The 22,713-nt window shown below is 37.3% G+C and overlaps 1 protein-coding gene across 25 annotated transcripts in view; it reads left to right on the top strand.

The window, feature by feature from the left end:
- The window catches only part of DNM3 (dynamin 3), a 576,969-nt gene that overhangs the window by 240,044 nt on the left and 314,212 nt on the right, over positions 1 to 22,713 (top strand). For 13 of the 25 annotated variants that reach the window (XM_017000979.2, NM_001350206.2, XM_017000976.2 and 10 more), the window contains exons 12-14: positions 291 to 361; positions 11,283 to 11,334; positions 12,155 to 12,184. In XM_017000979.2, coding sequence (XP_016856468.1) covers positions 291 to 361; positions 11,283 to 11,334; positions 12,155 to 12,184 — 153 coding nt within the window. Of the gene's footprint in view, positions 1 to 290; positions 362 to 11,282; positions 11,335 to 12,154; positions 12,201 to 22,713 lie in introns of all 25 variants that reach the window. The other 12 variants (XM_017000984.2, XM_047417389.1, XM_017000978.2 and 9 more) reach the window with 2 other exon arrangements.

Here is a 22,713-nt window from a genome sequence, read left to right on the forward strand (position 1 = left end):
CAAATAATTCTAGATTCTGTATTAAGGTAGCAAATAGTGTATGCTTATAAGTTATAATGCTATTCTCTTCATCTGCTGCTCAGATTTACTTTTCTAGTAGATTTTTAACTTATGAATTTAGAGTGCAAAATTATGAGTCTAATAAAGAAAAGTTAAGGTTACTTTTCATGCTAATTGAAGTATCCTTTAAAAAATTATATGAAGGTAATTAATTTGTGGGCAATTACTGAATTTAATGTTTGAGAATTTTTAGATGGGTTTTCACTGAAGTGTTTCTCTTTGACTTATAGGTATTGCTATTGATTGACATTCAAGTCTCTTACATCAACACCAACCATGAAGACTTCATTGGCTTCGCAAAGTACGTGAAACACTTGATGGCCACATGCATTCCTCCTGTTGATTTGTCTCAAACACACATTGTGAATTTTTACTACAGTTTCACCACCTTTGAGAATACAATCTGTGCCAGGATTAACTCTCAGTGTGCCTACTTAGGAAGTCTGAGCTCCATGGTCGTAGGGCAGGGATATTTACTATTCTCTCAGTAAAGTAGTTGGCTCTATTATGCAGCATATGAAGTCATGTATGTCTTACATACTTATCATCTCATCATTTTTGGATGATGTTCTGCAGTTTGTACTTGAACTCCTATAGAAAAACAGTAATTAATGCATGTTTAAAATTTTGAGGGGAACAGTTTTTCACATCAATTTGAAATACCACATGTAATTTACAGGATGAAAGATGTTTCAACTTTTCTAAGTCAGAATCTAGAGGCCTGTTTTTTTTTTTTTTTTAAACTTTGCGAAATTAGATGTAATCTGTCGGGGTGAACATTTTATTTTCTGTAAAGTGTGTATACAAATATTGCCATTTTTCATATACGTTATCATGCAAACGTTATGGTTAGTTACTCAGGATTGGCTATTCACTGTGTGACATTTTGAAGACCTTGAATGCACTATCTTTTCCTGCCCATTAGTGAAACCAGTTTTTGATTTAAATAATCTTGATATCACCTCTAAAATATATTTTTGCATTTAAGTGGTTCCAACTTCAAGTATATAAAATATAGCCTATTTTATGTAAAATGTAAAACAAAAGAGCCTATGTACTTTTACTTAAACTGAGTATTCAAGAACAGAGACAAATAAAAAAATGACAGAATGTCAAATTAATTTATTTTATTACATTCTGACTTAGAAGAAATGGATATGCAGACCCTGTGACCTAAACTAAACAGTGGCCTGAGGAATTTACAGGCATGTTTTAGGGAGAACAGTCCCAATTATCCAACTGAAAATTATCTCATCCTAAACTTGGCTGTGGTTGTGATGTCCTAGCCAATTGTGTAAATATCTTTTGCATCCAATGACGATTACTAGTGAAGGGTAGATAAGATTTCTTCCACCATTTTCTGTCTGTGGCATACGTGTATTCTTGTTAGAACCCAACGATAAATATGTGCCCTAGTCTAGTTGTCTTTGCAGCCACCCTGCCCACACCCACTTCTTGATAGGTATTTGCTGCACAGGCATTTCGCACAGACTTGCCCTCCTCTCTTTTAGCCCCAAGACTCTCACCATGTGTTCTGTTCATTTCCTTCTGCAGACTCACCTAAACTGTAACATACATCCTTATCCCTAGGTCCAGAAATTTTTTCCAGGTTTCCTCCACAGTCAGTGAACTCTAGGGAGCCTGTGCCAAGCTCTACTCTAGTTTCTATAGTGGGTGGGGGGGGAATGTAGAAAAAGAAAAAAACTTTTTGCCTTTTAGGAGCTTGCCAAATAATTGAAAAGTATAGAGACACACAAGTAAAAATTTAAACTGACACATTCTTCATTTTCCTCACTGCTTCTCTGAGGAATTTAAAAGACAAACAAATCCTTGAGACATTTAAAATAATAGGAATGCTGCCTTTAATGTTGATTTTCATGGATTACAAATGCCAGTTAGGTTCTTACAAAAATGTAGCAGATGTCGATGTAAACTTGACACAATAACTTAAAAGTGAAAAGGATGCTGCCTTGTTGTGGTACCACAATTAGAGGGGGAAAATGTAGAAAAAGTCATAATCCATTTAGAAAGGTTCAAATTTAAACATATTATATAACCCGTGCTTCAATTTAAATTTCACCTTTATAATCTTCTTGAAACTTTTTTTTTCTATGATAAATGAGCTAGAGTTTCTTTTCCAATAAATTTCCATATTTGCTGCCTTAGAAGCTGTTGGACTATGGTTTTATATTGATTATATTGATTTATAGGTTTCCAAGGGCAGGTGATTTTTCAAATTTAAGACTTTCAAACACAATCTTTTGACGTAGTCTCTCTGTGTCTGGTCCTATTTTTCTGGTCCAGGTGTCTGGTCCTATTTTTCCAGCAGTGAGATAGACTATGAATCTTTATGATATTGGGGAGAAAAAAAGAAGCATAGGTAAAACTGCTTTAGAAAGCCAGCAACTCTACACATTTCTCATCTAATTTAAATTGCACACTTAAACCTTCTTTAAAGGACTGATCTGGGAGTCAACAATCCAGGTTGTTTTTCCAGGATATGCCACTGATGAGCTTTGGGTTTTGGCAAGGTGCTCAGCCTTTCTCTATCTGTTTACTGATGTATCAAATGGAATAATAATCCTTGTCTTGTATACCTTTCAGGATTGTCAGAAGATCAAATTAATCAAGTTATGTGGAAATCCTTTAAAAAAAACTATGGTGTAGTCTATAAATGTGAGAGATCCTCCCTGTCTCTCACTCTCTCCACATACATGCACGTGTGCACACATACACACACATACACTCACATTTGATTACTAGATGTACCATTTTACTTTATGATGTAGTTATAATGACTTAAGTATGATTGTCACTGGAATATTTTTTAGCTGCTAATATCATTATCTCTAAATGTGATATTTTGCCCCAAGACTCAGAGATAAATGTCCTTTCCATTTGTATGTCGACTTGGAATTGACATGGGGTGACGTGGAGTGATTATGAAGATGAAGAAATGTTCATTTCAAAATCACTTTGAGGGGTTGTGGTATTTTTTGTGCTTTTAAAAATTAAAAAAATATGGTTGTAGCTATAAATTTTAAAGTTGGCAAGAATGCTGTTTCCATCAAGGAAGAAAAGTCAAGCCATATTTGAAGACAATTATGTAAGTATTTTTAAGTTCCAAAGACAGAAAATTAAGGTCTGGGGTTGAAGAAAACAAGCATTTGTTTCATGAGATTTTTAGAGAGTTGCCAAAAGGGAAGGAACTGCCTCCCAGATTTATAGGATGGTGATGTACATAGTACTTTACACATGTAATTTTTTTCAACTTGGATGACTTTTTGTTCTAATTTTTTAAAAAATGAAAATGAATTGCTAAAATTGGATTAATAAAATATTTACTTTCAGAGTAGCATTCAGGACATCTCAAAATTCTTCTTTCTGTTATAGAATTTATACTGTCATGTTTAATATGTGACACTTTTTTTCCATCTTCTAGTTATTTGTTAGACATGGCCTGTAAAATATGTACCGTGTGTAATGTGTCCAAATAAGCACTGCTCTAGGCTTGCTTTGGAATTTCCTGGCTTCTAAATGTTTTTTCAACTATAATATAGTTTCTGAGCCTGAAAGTTCAGCATTTCAGAAGAAAACGTCAAATTTCTTTGTGACTTAAGGGTTTTAATTTGTCATTCTCTGCTTTAGAAAAAAAAAAACCCTAAATTACATATATTTTTACATAATATAGCTAGTTTTTGCTATTTAAGAAAATAAGAACTGGCCCAATTGTTCCTTCATTCACTTCCCCTCGTCCTCAGTAATCCTCTTTTGAACAAAAAGGCAATCTTGTTAGTGGAATGCCTTGGGAAGTGAAATTTCAAACTCCTCTGCTCTTCTTCATTTGTTCCATGACACAATTTGCTTTCTGAGTTACTAGGATTTATGCAGTCCAATGGTTAAAGAGAAAGAGGGACTATAGATATGTGCCGTTAGAGTGATATCTCTATACACCGCAAGCAGCAGACCAAGGTCTGTTTGTTTTTCAATCTGCTCAGTAGGTCTCAACACCTGTTTTCTCACAGTTGAAATGATACAGTGTGCAGATTTCAGTTCTTGTTATTTGAGCACCATGAAAATTCTATGGGTCTTAAGATTTGTTATATCTTTTTCCTGATCCTCTGGAATGCCTCTATTGCCGTTTTACTGAAGGCAGTGCATTTCAACCTTGCCACTAAATTCCAGAGCAATCTTAGTCTTTCCCTTTACATTCTTAGTTTATTTTTCCCTAATGCATAATTATATTCTATTGTAATAATGTTTCTAGTTCCTAATCTTACATGAGAATGTTCTCTCTCTTGTGGAATCAAAACTTAGGTATTGGAGTATAAAAAGATCCTTTTTTTGACTTATATGCAAATTTAGGAATTAAATGCTTGGTTGCTTACTGAGATTGTTGTCAAGTAGAAATACAGGATTGAGCAACTTGAAAGGATACCATTCACATATCCTGTTCAAATAAGTTATAAATTCCAATGTTCCAAGCACCATTTTAAAAATAAGTAGACTTCCAGTTTTCTCTTTCATCCTCAAATATGTTATTTTAAACTTCATCTTCATCCTTAACATGAATCTTAGGAGGTAAGTGATTCTTCTTTTGCAGACTCCCAAGTTCTGTAAGATTTTCTTGCATAATAGCCTGAGCCTTCATTAAAGATCCTGGAGGAGAAACGGACATTGTTTCTTCTCCCTTTGGCTTCAGTCTGATTGGACGGAGCCTGGACTATCACAGTGTAACCTGTGATAAGTTACACTCTTGGGACTCTTGTGAAGTGTTCATAATCTTTCTTGGATAATATAAAAGAACAGTCTAAAATTGCTTTACTCTGTAGCACCATTGCACAATAGAACTTTCTGAGATGATGGAACTATTGTATAATCTGTGCTGTTCAATACAGAAGCCACTAGCTGTATGTGGCTATTGAGCAGTTGAAATGTGGGTAGTGCAATGAAGGCAATAAATTTTTAATTTAATTCAATCTAATTAAAGTTTTAATCTGGCTACCAGCTACTGCATTGGACGGCAGAGCCCTACAGTATAGTGACTCCGGCTGATGGCTCTGGGACCTTCACTGTGGGTCCTACTTTATTGACAGCTTAGTGGTGACCTATGGTGGTAGCTACTGAGAGAAAGAGCAAGGAAGCCTCTTAATTGCTACTAAACAAGTCTAAAAGAGCTTCTTTACTCTATAGCACTGTTGCACAATAGAAGTTTCTGAGATGATGGAACTATCGTATAATCTGTGCTGTTCAGTACAGAAGCTACTACCTGTATGTGGCTGTTGAGCAGTTGAAATGTGGGTAGAGGTAGAGGCACACTCTGATATTTGCTATGGAATCTACATCTCAAAGGGACTCTCCATTTCCTTAATGCATCTGAGCCCTCTTTGAGTGGCCTTAGTCTGTGTTCCATTCTCTTTTTCATCTTCCTTTCACTTTTCGGCCCACTGCAATCTAGTTTCTACCACTCCACTCCACTGAGACTGCTTTTGTCCAGGACAAAACAGTTAATCCAATGGACAATTCTGAGCCTTTCATTTGACACCACCGTTAATCACTCCTTCTTGAAGAGATCTGTTCCTTTGCTTCAATAACCTTCCACTCTCTCCTGGTTTTCCTCTTTTCACTCTAGCCACTTCTCAGTCTTTAGGAGCTCTTCATCTTCTGATCATGGCTTAAGAACTATTCTTTAATCAATTTTCCACCCTAGACCCCCTTCTTTCTCACTCACTGCATTATTCCTAATGGATCTTACCCACTCCAATGGTTTTAGTTGCCAACTTTATCTGATGACTCCAAATCTAGATCTTCATTTCAAGACTTTTCACTGGACTATGTACCATATTCAGATGTCTATTGGACATCTCTACTTATATATCCTAGAGAAGCCTCAACCTTCTAGTCCCAAACTAAACTCCTCATCTGCTCTTATAATTTTTAACTTCTATGTTGTTCCCACTTTCTGTGGATGGCACCTCCCAGTCCTATTCTTTGCTCCTTGTTCCCCTCATATCTTTGTCTCCATCCATCTTTACCAAGTTCATGTGATTCTATCTCCATAATATTTTTTGAATTCATCTATTTCTTTCTATCATCATTGCCACTACTAAAGTTAGTCTTCTCTTACTTGAGTTACTACAACAGTCTCTCTGTACCCCTGTCATCCTCTTTCTCATTCCTTCTGAGATTCTCTGTTACTTTCAGAATAAAGTCTAAACTTATTAATGTAATTTCCAAGGCTCTCTATAATCTGTATCTTGTTTACCTCTTCAGCCTATTCTATTGTTACTATTCCTTTCTACTCTACTCCCTAAGTCCATGCTGCAGCCAGTCTGACCACTTTGGGATCCCTAACTGTACCATACTTTTGCTTTAACACATGCCTATGATATGCTTCTTCAAATTATTTAGGTTTCCTAGTACAGATGATCATTGATAGTCTGGTTGTAAATAACCCTGGCATCAAAACAGAATTCCATACGTATTTCTTAAGATACTACCATAAACCCTCTGCTAGGTAATGTCAGTGATGAGAGAGGTAGAAATACCAAGATTGATGCTCTTGACTATCAAGGAGCAGGCATTGTTGGAAACCCAACTTACAATCTTGTTTATAAAATACAGGCACAGACCAAGGCTTTGGGAGTGCATGAAAAGGAGAGATAACTGGAGGTTTCTAAAAAGGCATAATTCAGGCATGATGCTTGATTGGAGTTTTAAGACTGGACAGGACTCCAATAGTCAGAGACAGGGGGTCTGGGCTGACTGCTTCCTGTCTTCTCTGCTTGAGTCAATACTATGCATTTCAGGGAACTAATTTGTACTAAAACATTGCCTTGATCATGTCACTTGCTGGCACAGAAACATGGAATGTTTTCTGCTGCCTTCAGAGTAACAGCCAAATTCTCCATAACTGGCCCCAACGTACAGTTATTATACTAGATGGCTTTTAAGATCACTTACAAACCCCAGTCTATGATTGGATAATTCTACCATAATAGTTTTACTCTCCACAACTTCCCCATATGCCTCATCTTTCTACTTCCTGGCTTTGCTAATACCAGTCTATTCTCTTGGAACGTAGTCATTTGTTTTCCTTTATTAAAGTTTATCTTCTTTTCAAGTTTGCTACAAACAGTTCAGATCATATCATCTGAAATTATATTTCTTGTCCCTGAACATTCAGAGAAATTACAATGGTATAGGATTTATTTGATAAATGGTCACACATCATAGACAAGGATAGGACACTGTGCAAAAAAGTTTTGAGCCAAGAGATAACATTAGGGGTTCTCTGATTGTCTTCTAATGTACTCTTATTTTTATAGAAGTTTAAACTTCTTGTTATATACTTTTAGAATCATTATGTCTCAGCATACACCAATTTGGTTCTACGTTTTAGTGTTCTGGCAAAGCCTTCCACAGTGACTTGTGTGTAGTAGGAATTTATATGACAAACGACAAATGTGCGTGCACACACGCACACACATATGAGAAGATATGGGTAATTATATCCCACATTTAAAACAGAAGCACTTTGTTTTTGCTTTCTATTACATCCTCACATGTTTATTAATATGGATTTTATTTTTTATTTGTTATTTTTGTTTTGTGTATGCATATCATTACTTGTACCAGACAAATTGTAGGCTTTTGATAACAAGAACTATACCTTATTCATATTTTTATATGCTACGGAGTTCGTGCCCTATAGTTTTTGATTTATGTTAAACTAAAACACCATACATAGGTATGTTTTATAATATTTCAGAGTTAATTGGTTAAGTAACTATATCCAAGAACATGTCCAAGGGCTCAAGTTAACTTGCAAGTCCTTACAGGTTTTTTAAGGAACATATTTTTAAATAAATGTTTTGAAATACTCTCAGTTCAATTATTATGCAGAAGAATTATGAGAAAGAATGTATTCTAAGCAGGCAGCTTTTTTTGTTGTTGTTGCTTTTGAAGTAACTTCAAGTAGCTAAATACATCATTAGCAACAGAATGTTTAAGTTTATGGGGCCAATTGCTGCAAAAAGATTCTTTAGGTGGAAAATAGAGGCAACTTAGTGTTTTTTCTAACTCTAATATTTGAGATTGGCTTATAAAGTAAATCTACTTTTCCTTTGGCATATTCTTACAAGTGGTAGATCCTAAATATGCATTATTTCACAGATGGAAACTGTCAATGGACATTGTCTTTATCTAGTGTAGCTTATAAGCTTCTGAGAGTAATTTTGCATCTCAAGGAATATTGGACCTAAAAGGAACCTAAGAAACAACTTGTTTAGTCCTCTAGCCCTCCTCTCTGTCTCTGTTTCTGTCTGTCTCCTTTATGACACACATATACACATTTTATAGCTGAGCGACTGAAGTCCATTTTGATCAAACTTTTCACCTAAGGTAGCAAAGGAGTCATTAACGATCTTTGCGGCTTTTGCTTTACATTCAACTTCTTTTCCCTTAAGTGATTTGAAGGGGACTGATACATAATTTTAGGGTCTACAATAATTTGTTCAAAGGAAGCACCTGTGGGTCTATCACAGGTTTTCACCACTAGTCAGTGTTTCAGTGAAAACATTACTCCTAAAACACAATTATGGTGCTTGGAAGAGATAAACATAACCTATGAAGGTGTCATGATCTCATTATAATAGTAGTTTTCTCATGCATTCCTGGAAGAGCAGGAAGCCTGGAGGGTGCTGGAAAAGTGACATTTAATGTGGAAAAAGAAAGTAAGGAGGAGATCCGAAGCCCTTAGGAGAGTGCTACTCAAGACGCTGTGTGCGCCAGGGCATGAGGGCAGCCAGAGGGCGGTGTGGGCACATTGGATCCTGGTTACCTCTTTCACAGCCTCACCTACAAGACCTGAATAATGTAGATTTAGATTGTTCAGAGAAATGGTTAAAGAGGAAATAATTTCATCGTAATTAAGAGGATTAACCATTTAACAGAAAGCTGGAAAAATAAAAAACAAGGAAGGAAGAAGTTGAAATTAGCAAATTTTAAATTGGAAAAAAATATATACACAAAATATTTTTAGCAACCAAATACAGTATGGCCTTTCACCACCCACCCCCTGCCCACCTTCAGTTGAATGCAGTGTTTTTTCATGAGTTTGAGTGAAGGAAAGCAGCTTAAATGTATCAGAGGAGTTTATTAAAAACTTATTTTGATCAGCTGTTCTAAGTGTGGTGTTGATTTCTAACTTGTTACTGCAGCACAACATCCCATCACTTTAAACAGTTGACTGAGAGCTTTAGTCTCCCTTTTCTCTATTTTAGACCATTTCATTGATCTCCAAAACAGCTTCCATAAACTATTAAACAATCTGTAAGAATACTGAGTATTGCTGATCTTCCCAGAATAACCAAAATGAGTTGTGTTTCTTATATTGATACGTGTTTATTCATGGATCCACCAAAAGAAAGCCTTTGTCCTTTTGAGGGATAGAGTAACCTAGTGATGAAACGTGTGGGCTCTGTTGTTAAGTTGTTGGAGTCCTTTCTGGCTTTTAACCCTCTGTGCTTATGTCTAAAATGAGGGTTATAATGGCATCAACTTCATTGGGCTTTTCATCGAACAGATATTTCATGAAACCAACCATGTGCCATGTCCTTTGCAGGCCCTGGGGATATAGCAGTGAACAAAACAGACGCAAACCCCTGCTCATTAGGAGCTTACAGTCTAATGGAAAAGGGCAGACAAACACAAAAAATAAATACACCGTGTAGTGTATCGGAAGGTGAGAAATGCCAGACAGAAAAATCAAACAGGGTAAAGGGGATGATAGTCTTGGAGGAAGGGAGGGATGCGGTTATAAATAGGGTGGTCAGAGTAGTCCTAACTGAAAAGAAGGATTTGAATGAAGACTTGAAAGAGATGTTGGGAACCATGCAGATGAAAGCGGGAAGTACATCCTAGGGAGCTAGCTTGCCTGAAGGCTCTAAATGGGAGTGTATTGGGTGGGTTTGAAAAAGAGCAGATGCCAGTGTGGCTGGAACTCTTCAGGGAACAAGGTGAAGGGTAGGAGGAGATGAGTCAAAGAGGCAGTAGTGGGGGTTGCTTGAGTAGGGCCTTGTAGACCCTTGTATGGACTTTGGTTTTTACCATTAAATGGAATGGTGTTGATGCAGTACACGGTTTCGAGCAGAAGAGTTAACATAGTCCTTCTGAAAGTATCACTCTGGTGTCTGTTAAGAATAGACTTCAGGGAGACAAGTGTGGAAGCAGAGACCAGAGAATAAATGATTACAGTAATCCAGATGAGGGATGGCAGTGTCTTGGACCAAGGTGGGACCAATGGAAGTGATGAAAAGATGGTTAAATGTTAAATTTATTATAAGAAAGTAGTCGACAGCATTTTCTGATGGTCGGATATGGGTTGTGAGAGAAAGAGGAGACAAAGATTTTGGCCAAGGAACTTGAATGTATGGTATAGAATTGCCATTAGTTAAGAGGAGGAAGGAAGACTGTGGGTGGAACAGATTTTAGGGGGGATTTCAGGAGTTTAGTTTTGAAATATTAAGAATGATATGCCCATTAAATACCCAAGTGATGAGGTTAAGTTGTTAAAAACATCAATAAGTCCAGAGTTGGGACTCATACATATTTGGATCTACATGGCAGATCCAAACCAGAGATGCATTAAAGGAGTTGTCAGAATATATTGGAATTCAAAGCAGTGAGACTGGACAATATCACAAAGAGTTTGTGATGCGGAGCCATGCTACTTGGTACTACCACTTATTAGCTGAGTGATTTTGGGAAAGTCACTTAGCTTCTCTCCTCATCTATGAAACAAGAAGAATAATCGTAACTGCTTCATGGGGTTGCTGTGAGAATAAAAATGATTAATATCGATAAAGCACTTAGAACATGGCATATACTCAATAATCATTAACTTAATTTCCATTACAACTCTCCTCTGTACCTGTGAGACACTGCAAATATGTCAACTCGTATGTTATTAATGTTACAATGCAGCTTTTCTTTAAGTGGTGTTATTATATTTTTGGTTTATATGCTACTAGGAGTTATGTGCTATTAGGAGTCCCATTGAGTTGGTTTTGCTTCCAGAATTAAACTGACCTGGAATTTTGGTATTAGGTCTGTCTCCATTGATTTTTTTTTTAAAGCCTGTATAAATTTTAGTATTTGTTACTTGTTTAGGAAAAAATTATATGTGTCTCTTCAGTGCTGCTTTCCTTTGCTTTTCTCAGTGCTCAGCAGAGGAGCAGTCAGGTTCACAAGAAAACCACAGTTGGAAATCAGGTAGGAATTGCATAAGAGAATCAGTGTATGCATGTCCCAAAGAATTTGAACTAAATCGCTTGATTGACTATTTTTTTAATGCAAATTAATCACGTGCAAATTTTGCTTGAAATGCAGCTTTCATTTTGATTTGTTTTTGCTTTTAAAATTTTTGGAGTGAATTGCATTTCTTTTTGGCTATTTTGTGCAGTTAACCATATTGATTTATTTTAAATAACCTTTCTGCTACTTGCTCTGCATTTCAAATTTGACTCCTCATGTCCTATTTTGCTTGCTTACGTTACCCCTAAGTTTAATTTAACATTGAGTTTGTGAGTCAGTTGAAGGTTAAAATGTGGTGAGTAGTTGCATGAGCTTTCTGGGGTTGCTAACTAGTTCACACATTTGCACAGCTTGGTATCAGTGAAGGGACAGCTCATGAAGAACGCAGTTGTTGGATGTAATCTCTGCCACACTAAATTCTTGTTGGTTAATGAAGATGTTAATTCCTAAGAAGATCTGATCTTTTGAGTTTTTGTGTTTTGGGCTGACCAGCTGTCTCTGACTAATAGCGCTCTGCAGAGATTGTATTAACTCAACAGTTTGCTGTGTCTTTTATGTTTTATGTGATAATGAATATTTGCATTGTTATTTCTTTTCAAGTCAAAACAATGATGGTGTTATAGTTTTTAAAAAACTTTCAGAGGTACAATTATTGAACAAATTGAAACCTCTGCTCTAGATTTTTTTCCCATTGTTTTGAAAGGAGAAGAGGTAATAACAGACTTTATTTTAAAAACTTTTTTTCTGAACTAAAGCATATAATTCTTTGCTATTTCAGGGAACCAATCTTCCGCCTTCAAGGCAAATTGTACGAGCTAAGTTCTGTAAGCTTTACTGTTGCTTTTTCATTTAGCTTCCCAAGGGCACAGTTTGTCTTTAACTGATTAACTCAACTAGCGCTTGCTACTAATTTTTTTTAAACTTAGGTTGTCTTGTCCGTAACACCCTATCATTGAAATAAAAATCCTCTTAAGAGGGTTCATCCCTTCACTGCTAATAACTTGCTGTGATTGAAAGGTATGAACTAGTAAACTCTAAAATGCTGTAATAATAAACCCTTAACACTGTGGGTGCTTTGATATTTCTCTAATTTTAATGGTCCTTAAAATAATTAAAATCATTAATGATCTTCATCTCTGTCCTTTTATGCTATGTTGTTATGAGGTGTAAGCCTTTCTCTTCCCCTTGTATGGTAATATTTCCAATAAATGTAGATGATGCTTCTAAAAGGTGGGTAAATATTGAGTATCTGATTTTGCTGTGTTTGTTGATAAGCCTACCCAATACCAATTATTTGCATTTATTTAAAAAAACAGAAAAGCAAAGTTATAGTGATGGACATTTTATATGGCTATAGAGTTAAATCTTTGAAAACCAGATACTATGTCTTCTTTTATGGAAGTGTAAAAACATTGTCATAAGCATTTAGAAAAAAAATTAAACTCTAATTTCTACCACGGATAAAGCAGGCTTATTCTTCCAACTATGCACAGTTTGAGAATGAGATTGGAGCATGGGTCAATTATCTGCCCCATGATATTTTGGGAAGACACAGGTTTTAGACCTAGACATTCCTGGGTTCAAATTCTGTTCTGTCACTTAAGAGCTATGTGGCCTGGGACACATTGTGCCTGAGTTTGCTCAGCTGTGTGATGAGAGGAATAGAAAATATCTCTCAGGATGATGGTGGGATTCAGAAATGATATACATAATGAGGTTTGCAGCCCAGTACCAGATATGTGCCCTGTAAAGAATAGAAACATTACTCCCAAAAGTTAGGTGCTGTTTCTTCAAACTCTTGGGAGAAAAAGTTTAAGTACAAGAAGATTATAAAATTTATAAAATGAGAACAACAAAACACTTGGGAAAATTAGAAGCTATGGAAATTGTTCTGATGCCTGCAATGCCCAGATTGTGGTTGGATATGATATAAAGGATTTACCTGTAAAAGTTTCCTCACAGTCAGAAGCATCGCTTAGCTCACAGAAGTATGTACATGTAGGAAAATCAATAGTATAATAGCATATATGCATACTTTAGATCAGAGGAAACTTGGAACAGCTTTCAGTTATATTACTTCCAAATGCTCAAATCATGCTAATTGTGTTTCTGTGACTTTGCTTTTGCTGGATACTTCAAAGCCCACACATTATGGAAGTATTACATCTCAAGATAATAGAATTGGGTGAGTGTTATAATGGAATATAGATTCCTTATCCAAAACTTCTGGGGCCAGACATGCCTTGAAGGTCAGAATTTTTTGGACTTTATTAACTGTATCATATATTACCCTACATTTTGTGGAGTTAGAGACAGCACCATATAATGAAACATATTCTATTTCTGCAGTGAAACAAAGGAATAGTTACACCAAGTAAACTTTTAAATAAAAGATAAATCCTCTCACATCAGATCAGGTTTTGCTGCCAAATTTGCTAAGAAAAAAGCTTTCAATTTGCAAGCAAGGGATTATGAACTAGAATATATTATTTTCCAGAATCAAATCCAATAATGTATACATGATACAATATATTTTAAAGGATCTTCAGTAGTTCTTCCTACTTAGCAGAAATAAACCATAATGACTTGAAATTTTCTTTATGAATCTGAGCATATGATGTTGATTGGGGTTTATATGAAAACAGTTTTGCCTATTAAGAGGCTCAAATCCAGGGAGTTTTGGGGCCCACCCTTCCGACTGATGCTGGCTTTTCTGGTTGGTGGGGCTGAAACACTCTGCAGCATCCTAGGAAGTGATTCATCCATGCTGCTATCCTCTTAGGGCTCCTGGTTGCAGAAGATTGTTGTGCAGCATCTGTTCTGAAATATTTTAGAAGGATTTAAGAAGGGCAAAACTCTTCTTTAAAGTCTAAATTTGCTTTGTTTATGTCTGCCTAGAAATTGTAATAGTTTCACAAGTTGATGTCAGCAAATGTACAAAAAAATGTGAGCACATAATTTACCGAAAGCTGGACTGCTCAAAAATTTAAATTTAACCTTCATTCATCCTTCCACTCATGTATTCAAAACCTATCTGTGTCAAAATGTGTGGTGGGTGTTTAGAGAAGCATGATGATGCATCAATCACAGGCCTCACCCTCAGGAAGCCCACAGCTCAGCGGGGATGATGGTAAGTAAGCAAACTGAAGTCCACTTCCTTTTCCAAGGCTAGCTACTGCTGACCCTTCAGGTCTTACTGAAACATCACTTCTGCAAGAGGCCAGCCTTGGTCACCAGATTTAAAGTCACCCTCCCTTCCCAATGTCTTTCACTATCTATTACATTTTATTATTTGAAACAATCTTATTTATTCACTTATTTATTATTTTTTGTCTTCCTTCATTAGGACGTAAGACCCATTAAAGCTATTTTTATGTTGCTTAAAGCAGTACAGAATTATAGTAAGGTTTTAAGCACAATCATATTAACATTTGTGGAGAAAGGCTTTGAAGGTGAGACAAGACTGGAAAAAGGAGATTAGTTAGAAGGCTGTTGTGGATGAAAAATTGTGGTGATCCGGGCTTGGGTGTTTGTACTGAATTTGAGGAAAAGCTGATGAATTCAAGAGATATTAAGTAGGAAGAATCCAAAAAATCTGTGATAAATTGGATGTCGGAGAGAGGGCTGGAGGTTGTCTTCAATGCATCAAGATTTATGATTTAGGTACAAGTAAGATGGTGCTGCTCTTCACAGAGAAAGGAGCATAGTGAAAAAGTCAGATTGGGATCCAGAGTCATGAAAGTTAGCTTTCTGAGTATGAGTCACCGTGGGAGTTTGAAGTAAAAATGTCCAGTAGGAAGGTGGATAAAAGTGTTTAAGTCCAGAAGTGACAGAGAACTCTTTCTTCCAAAGGTATTGGAGACTCATGGAAGGATTTCCAATAGGGAAGGGAACTCAACTGATTTTTATATTAGAAAGGTCTGTAATGGAATAGTTTGAAGGAGACAAACTAGAGATATGGGAATTGGTGAGGATGCTTTTGAAATTATTCAGGTGAGAGAAACATTGGTTGCAGGTAGTATTTAGCAGAAGGAACAGATTCAAAATATATTCAGAGGGTAGAATTGGAAGGGTTATAAAGAGTTCTCAGGGGGTTAAGTCATCCTCCTAGGCTTATGGCTAAGGGCATGCACTGACAAAGGGAGTGCAGGAGAAGGGGGAGCAGGTGTAAGGGGAGATGAGAGCAGAAGGTGCTGATTTAGGGCCGGGCACGGTGACTTATGCCTGTAATCCCAGCACTTTGGGAGGCCGAGGTGGGTGGATCACAAGGTCAAGAGATTGAGACCATTCTGGCCAACATGGTGAAACCCCATCTCTACTAAAAATACAAAAATTAGCCAGGCATGGTGGCGAGTGCCTGTAATCCAAGCTTCTCTGGAGGCTGAGGCAGGAGAATCACTTGAACTCAGGAGGCAGAGATTGCAGTGAGCCAAGATCACACCACTGCACTCCAGCCTGGGTGACAAAGCAAGACTGTCTCAAAAAAAAAAAGAAAAAATAGAAGAAGGTGCTGATTTCAATTTTGAATATGTTTGTGCTTATTGGAGATATCATTGGGGTTTGAGGTTCAGGACTCATGTACACTGGAGACATAAGTTTCACTGTTGTCAATAAATACATGGTATCCGAAGCCGTGGGAGTACATGAGACCACCTCCAAAGGATGAGAACATAGAAAGGAATGTAGGACTTAAAGCATGATGGAGAAAGAAGAACTGGAACTGAATGGGGAACTGAAAAGGCAAATAAGAAGTGATGAGAGAGGTAGGAAAACTTGGAGAGTGGTTATCATGGGAAATTCAGTCAGATATCGGGCAAAATTCACCCCCAATATTTCACATAGGTTCTTTTCTATTTTCCCTAAATGTTGGCTGGTCTGAGAAATAAAGGGACAGAGTACAAAACAGAGAAATTTTAAAGCTGGGTGTCCAGGGGAGATGTCACGTGTTGGCAGGTTCTGTGATGCCCCCTGAGCCGTAAAACCAGCAAGTTTTTATTAGTGATTTTCAAAAGGGAGGGAGTGTACGAATAGGGTTTGGGTCACAGAGGTCACGTGCTTCACAAGGTAATAGAATATCACAAGGCAAATGGAGGCAGGGTGAGATCACAGGACCACAGGACCAGGGTGAAATTAAAATTGCTAATGAAATTTCAGGCACGCATTGTCATTGATAACATCAGGAGACAGGGTTTGAGAGCAGACAACCGGTCTGACCAAAATTTATTAGGTGGGAATTTCCTCGTCCTAATAAGCCTGGGAGCGATACGGGAGACTAGGGCTTATTTCATCTCTACAGCTTCGACCGTAAAAGACAGCCACCCCCGAAGCGGCCATTTTAGAGGCCTACCCTCAGGGACGCATTCTCTTTCTCAGGGATGTTCCTTGCTGAGAAAAAGAACTCAGCCATATTTCTCCCATTTGCTTTTGAAAGAAGAGAAATATGGCTCTGTTCTGCCTGGCTCACTGGCAGTCAGAGTTTAAGGTTATCTCTCTTGTTCCCTGAACATTGCTGTTATCCTGTTCTTTTTTCAAGGTGCCCAGAGTTCATATTGTTCAAACACACATGCTCTACAAACAATTTGTGCAGTTAACGCAATCATCACAGGGTCCTGAGGTGACATACATCCTCCTCAGCTTACGAAGATGACGGGATTAAGAGATTAAAGTAAAGACAGGCAAAGGAAATCACAAGGGTATTGATTGGGGAAGTGATAAGTGTCCATGAAATCTTCACAATTTATGTTCAAAGACTGCAGTAAAGACAGGTGTAAGAAATTATAAAAGTATTAATTTGGGGAACTAATAAATGACCATGAAATCTTCACAATTTATGTTCTTCTGCCATGGCTTCAGCTGGTCCCTCCGTTCGGGGTCCCTGACTTTCCGCAACAAGTGGTAGAACAAAAGCTAAAGGGAGAGAATGTTTCAAGGAGGGAATAGTCAATAGTTAGATGTTTCTAAGAGCTCAAGGAACTTGGAGGAAGTTGTCAGATAGTTGGACTGTGGAAGGTCCTGTGCAGGTTAGGGACTATCTGAGGGTCCAGTGATAGCACGAATTCTCTTGGCCTTGTAAATTGCTCTTCTGCTCTACAGTTGGAAGGTGGCATAAAGCTGAGGACACAGACAAATGAATTGATATTCTGAGCTGGTGTTTTTCTAGGGAGGCAGCATGGAAGGTCAAGAGAGAAGATGAGTTAGAGTTTTTAAGAGAGACAGGTTGAGGTAAAGGACTGTGTAATCTCACATGAGTAGCTTTAATTGATGTATTAATCAGGATAGATTAACCAGGTAACAAGCAACCTCAGGATTTCAGTAGATTAGCATAATACAAATTTAATTCACCCTCCTATAATAATTCAATGAAGGTCATCAACATGCAGGGAGATACCTTGCTTCACATGGTCAGTAACAGACTGGGCTTTGGAATCCCAGAGATTCCAAAATCTCCCTTCTCTGCCTTCTCCTGCATAGAACCTGCAAATTTCATTCTTGCAGCAGGTGGGAAAGAGACAGAAGCCTGGGCAAGGGAGGTTTTTAAGAACCAGTCCATAAGTGGCACACATCATTTCTATATCGTTGAACAGAACTTGGTCATTTGGGCTCACCTAGCTGCGTGGGAAATAGAAAAATATACTCTGAGCTTGTGCCCAGGAAAAAAAAAAAGACAAAAAAAGATGATGTTGACTGAAAATTGAAAGGAAATGGGCAAACCAGGGAACTGGAGGTTTTACTAAAATCAGAAAAAGTTTGTGCTAGGATTAAGGAAAAGAAATTATGAGGTGGGAGGTTAAAGTCAGTGAGTGGCATGTTGTACTTGAAAGTTTAAGAGTAAAGAGCATGCCACCTGAAAGTCAGAGATGTTATTGGAGTAAGAGATAACAGACACTGGAGGGAGGGGCACAAGTGATAACTAAAAATATTTGTGGAACATTGTCTTCGGAAGGTGTGAGTAGCTGAAAACAAATGGGGATGAAATGTCCTTGGTTGGAATATGTTAGGGGCCAGGAGGACTGATGTGGCATTTACATGACTGATAATTCATTCCTTTGTCCTCAAGAGTCTTAGCAGGAAGGCATTGTTGACATGCTCCTTGGCCCGAGAATGTATCCAACTGCAATTGTATAACTGGAAAGACTTTTTCTTTAAGCAGGAAGTAGAGCAGGTGCTTGCATGAGCCTAGATATTAGGGTACTTCTTAGTCTCAAGCTTATTATCAGTTTTGTTTGCCATCCATGTGCCCACTATTGTTCTAACTTTAGACTGGAATATGAAATTTGGCTTCTCAAACCTACAGGTCTCCAGGTAACTGGATTATCAACCTTTTGTATTATAGGCTGCAAACAGAAAAAGATGTTTCCTTCCAAACAGGGTTTCTTCTCTCCCTACTTTCTGAAAACTAGTTTTAGTAGACACTAGTCTTTTTCATAGGATCTCTCACAGGTCTCAGAAAATTATAAATGGACCTCACTATCCTGAAATTTTCCTGCCATGTCCCCTAGTTCTTCAACCTCTGTATGTACATGCTTTGAGTCCAATGTTAAAAAGGTGACAGTTTAATCAGTTCTTTAACAGATGGATAACAAAGATTGCCAACATCCTAGCCTAAGAGAGATCCTTCCAGTCCTCTCGCCTTTCTCCGCTCAGCTAATTCCACCTTTTAGGGTCTGTCACTCTTAACTCCAAGTCTTACCTGACTTCCTGGTACCGATATCTCTATCAGTTAGGATTTTTTCAGATGTAAATTTCAGAAAACTCAAATGACCCTGGAAAAAAGGGAATTTGTTAGTTTACATGAATGAACACTTCAGGGATAGAATCGAGCACTATTTAATCCACAGCTCAAATAGTGTCACCATGAACTAGTTTTTTTTCCTTCCATATTTTTGTTCTGCTCTTTTGCTGTGGTTCTGTTCTTGCCCCAACGGACTGCAAGATGACTGTCATCAGTCTCCAGGGAATTGTCTTCTTACTTTGAATCCAGCAGAAATAAGAGTCTTTCTCCCAGGATTTTCAGAAAACCTTCTAAGGTTCAGTCTGATTGGACTGGCGTGGATCATGTGCTTATTTCTGAACTATTCACTGTGGCCAGAGAATGAGGTATACTGATTGACTTAGGCCACATCATATGGGACAAGGGATGTTCCTCACCAGAACACATGGGCTGCCTCTCCCCCTGAAAGAGCTATTGCTGGAAGAAGAAAGGATAGACGCTGGAGAAGGTGCATCACAGGTGAAGGCAGGTACTTGCTGAGCATTATTTGTCTTCAGAACAATCTAATTTGGATACTAGGATTTTTGTGTATGTTGTCTTTTTAAAGGAATATGAGATGGTTAATACCTCATCATTAAAACCCTATGGTTCATTTATTAATAAAATTTAATTATTTTTCCAATTCATGACTTTCCCCTTCTCTCCCTTTCCTTTTAAAAATAATTCTACTGACTATGTTAGGTTGAGAAGCAACATAGTGCCTTGGTTCTTCAGAGCTGACACAGTAGAGTCACTGTGTCACTATGAGCAAATTAATTAAACCTTACTGTACCTCAGTTTTCTAATCTGTAATAAGCTGATAATAATAGTAACTGTTTCATAAGGTTTTTGTATTAAATGTGATAATACTAGTTAGGTACTTAGGTATGGTGTTGGGTGTTTTACACACATTAGCTCATTAATTCCTCTCAACAACTCTATGAGGTAGGTACCCCTATTATCTCAGTTTTACAGATGGGAAAACTGAGGCATGGAGAGGCAAAGTAACTTGCCCAGTCACACAGATCATAAATGATAGCACCAGGATTCAAATCTTAATCACCATGTTTAACCACAGTTCTAATCACTGTGTTTAACCACAGTTCTAATAGTTTGTAAATTTCATCAAGCATCTCATTTTGTAGTCTCAATTATTTATAGTCTCATCATTTACATTAATTTGCTTTTTTTATTACTTAATTTTTTTTTTTGAGACAGTTTTTCTCTGTTGCCCAGGCTGGAGTGCAATGGTGTGATATCGGCTCACCGCAATCTCTGCCTCCCAGGTTCAAGCAATTCTCCTGCCTCAGCCTCCTGGGCAGCTGGAATTACAGATGTGTGCCACCACGCCTGGCTAATTTTTGTATTTTTAGTAGAGACGGGGTTTCACCATGTTGGCCAGGCTGGTCTTGAACTCTTACCTCAGGTGATCTACCCACCTCGGCCTCTCAAAGTGCTGGGATTACAGGTGTGAGCCACCACGCCCGGCCACTTAAAATTTTTCTTAAAATAAAGCCATTAGATCTGAAAAGAATGAGCTCGGCTTTATAGAAATTAATCTGATGAACCAAAAAACTACAATGGCTATTTGAATTTGTTGCCATTTTGTTTTTTAATTCTATAAAAATATCTCCAAAGGGGCCAGTCAATAGCTTGTAAAATATAATAATCATTATTTTATTATAATAAAATAGAGATTAGAGTTTATGAAAACCACACTTTGTCAAATATACAGCCTGTTAATTTGTTCTGCGTCTTTGAGATCTAGAGTTTTATTTGGAATAGTATTTAATGTATGCCACTTATGTTTTTTCCCCAGAAAATAAGCAGATGTTCTTTCCATATTTTTACAGCCAAGTTGCATCTTAATGGAGGGTTTAGAGCATAAAAACCAGTGAAGAGATTATCTTATCTACTCAAAATTACTTTGAAATACCCCTTCAATAGGCAGAATCTAGGTTTTCTGCTATGTTTTTACTTTGGGACAGTAGAGGCATGGTCTTGTTTCACCAGAGGAAGAACAACTGGTGAAACAAAGGCATCTCTCCTCCTGCCTCCCTCCGGCTGCCCCATAGCTCCTCTCTCTCCCTCCCTGCTTCCCTCTTTTCCTCCCTCTGTCTCTTTTATCCTCTTTGATGCTCTCTGTTTTACAAGTGTGGTGTGTTTGATTCCAAGTAAGCAAATGCCTGTATTATTCCAATTCCTTGGAATTTTGATAACATTTAAAAATGTTAATGTTTCTCACCAAAGATATTATTTTATTAACCACTGTATAGCTTATTTAGCACAAAGTATCCATGGAGCCAATAAAGTATCCATTTGTTACTTGTATCCAAAGTACATAATTTTGAATCTATAATTTTCAAGTTAAACAATAAATATATGAACACATTTTTACTGTGAAAAAGTTGAATAATGCAGATAAAATAAATACACCCTTGACCCCCACCCAATCCCACTCACCTCCATAGCTACCACCACTGTTATCATTTTGGAGTATATATACACATATATACACACACAAGCACATGGGTACACACCCACCCACACACAAAGACACTGTGATTTAAAAAAATAAAAATAGACAAATATTGTACATGTTTTGTTCTAAAATTGTAAACTCTACCAAGGCAAGGATTTTTGTCTCTTTTGCTTATTAATGTATCCCTAACAATGTCTAAAAGCTGGTGTATGGTAGCTGCTGAGTAAATATGTGAAGTTGACCTCACTTTATTCATTTAATGATATGTCTTAGGGATTTTTCCATGTAAATTCGCAGACATAAAATGACAAAACTTCTTTGTGGCATAATATTATAGTGTTCTACAGTATGGATGTGCCATACTTAATTCACATTTCCCTAAGGATAGGTATTTCTGCTGTTTCCAGTTTTTCCAAAACACCTGAACCAGTTCATAGACCCAACAACTATATATGTAAGTACCTCAATCCCCAGTACTGGATAATTATATTTTATATAATTTTTGATAATCTAACAGAAATAATAATATATTGTTGTTGTGATTTGCATTTTACTTATTGAAAGTTACAGAGGCCAGGCGCGGCGGCTCACGCCTGTAATCCCAGCACTTTGGGGTGCCAAGGAGGGTGGATCACGAGGTCAGGAGATCGAGACCATCCTGGCCAACATAGTGAAACCCCATCTCTACTAAAAATACAAAAATTAGCTGGGCGTGGTGGTGCATGCCTGTAATTTCAGCTACTCAGGAGGCTGAGGCAGGAGAATCACTTGAACCAGGGAGTTGGAGGTTGCAGTGAGCCCAGATCGTGCCACTGCACTTCAGTCTGGGTGACAGAGCGAGACTCCGTCTCAAAAAAAAAGTTACAGACCAGCCTTATACCTATTTAACAGACTTTGGTATCCCTTCTCCTATGAAATGTCTGATGTGTCTTTTGCCCATTTTAGGGAACCATTGTATTATTTTCTTATTGATTTTTAGGATTTTAAAAATAGTCTGGGTATTAGTTTTGTTTGTATTATATATAGTACAAATATTTTCTGCTTATCTATCTCTTGACTTTCAGTTTTTTTACTGGATATTATAAAACAAAAAGTTATAATTTTG

Source organism: Homo sapiens, chromosome 1, assembly GCF_000001405.40.
Source record: "Homo sapiens chromosome 1, GRCh38.p14 Primary Assembly".
In the NCBI taxonomy this organism is placed as follows: domain Eukaryota; kingdom Metazoa; phylum Chordata; class Mammalia; order Primates; family Hominidae; genus Homo; species Homo sapiens.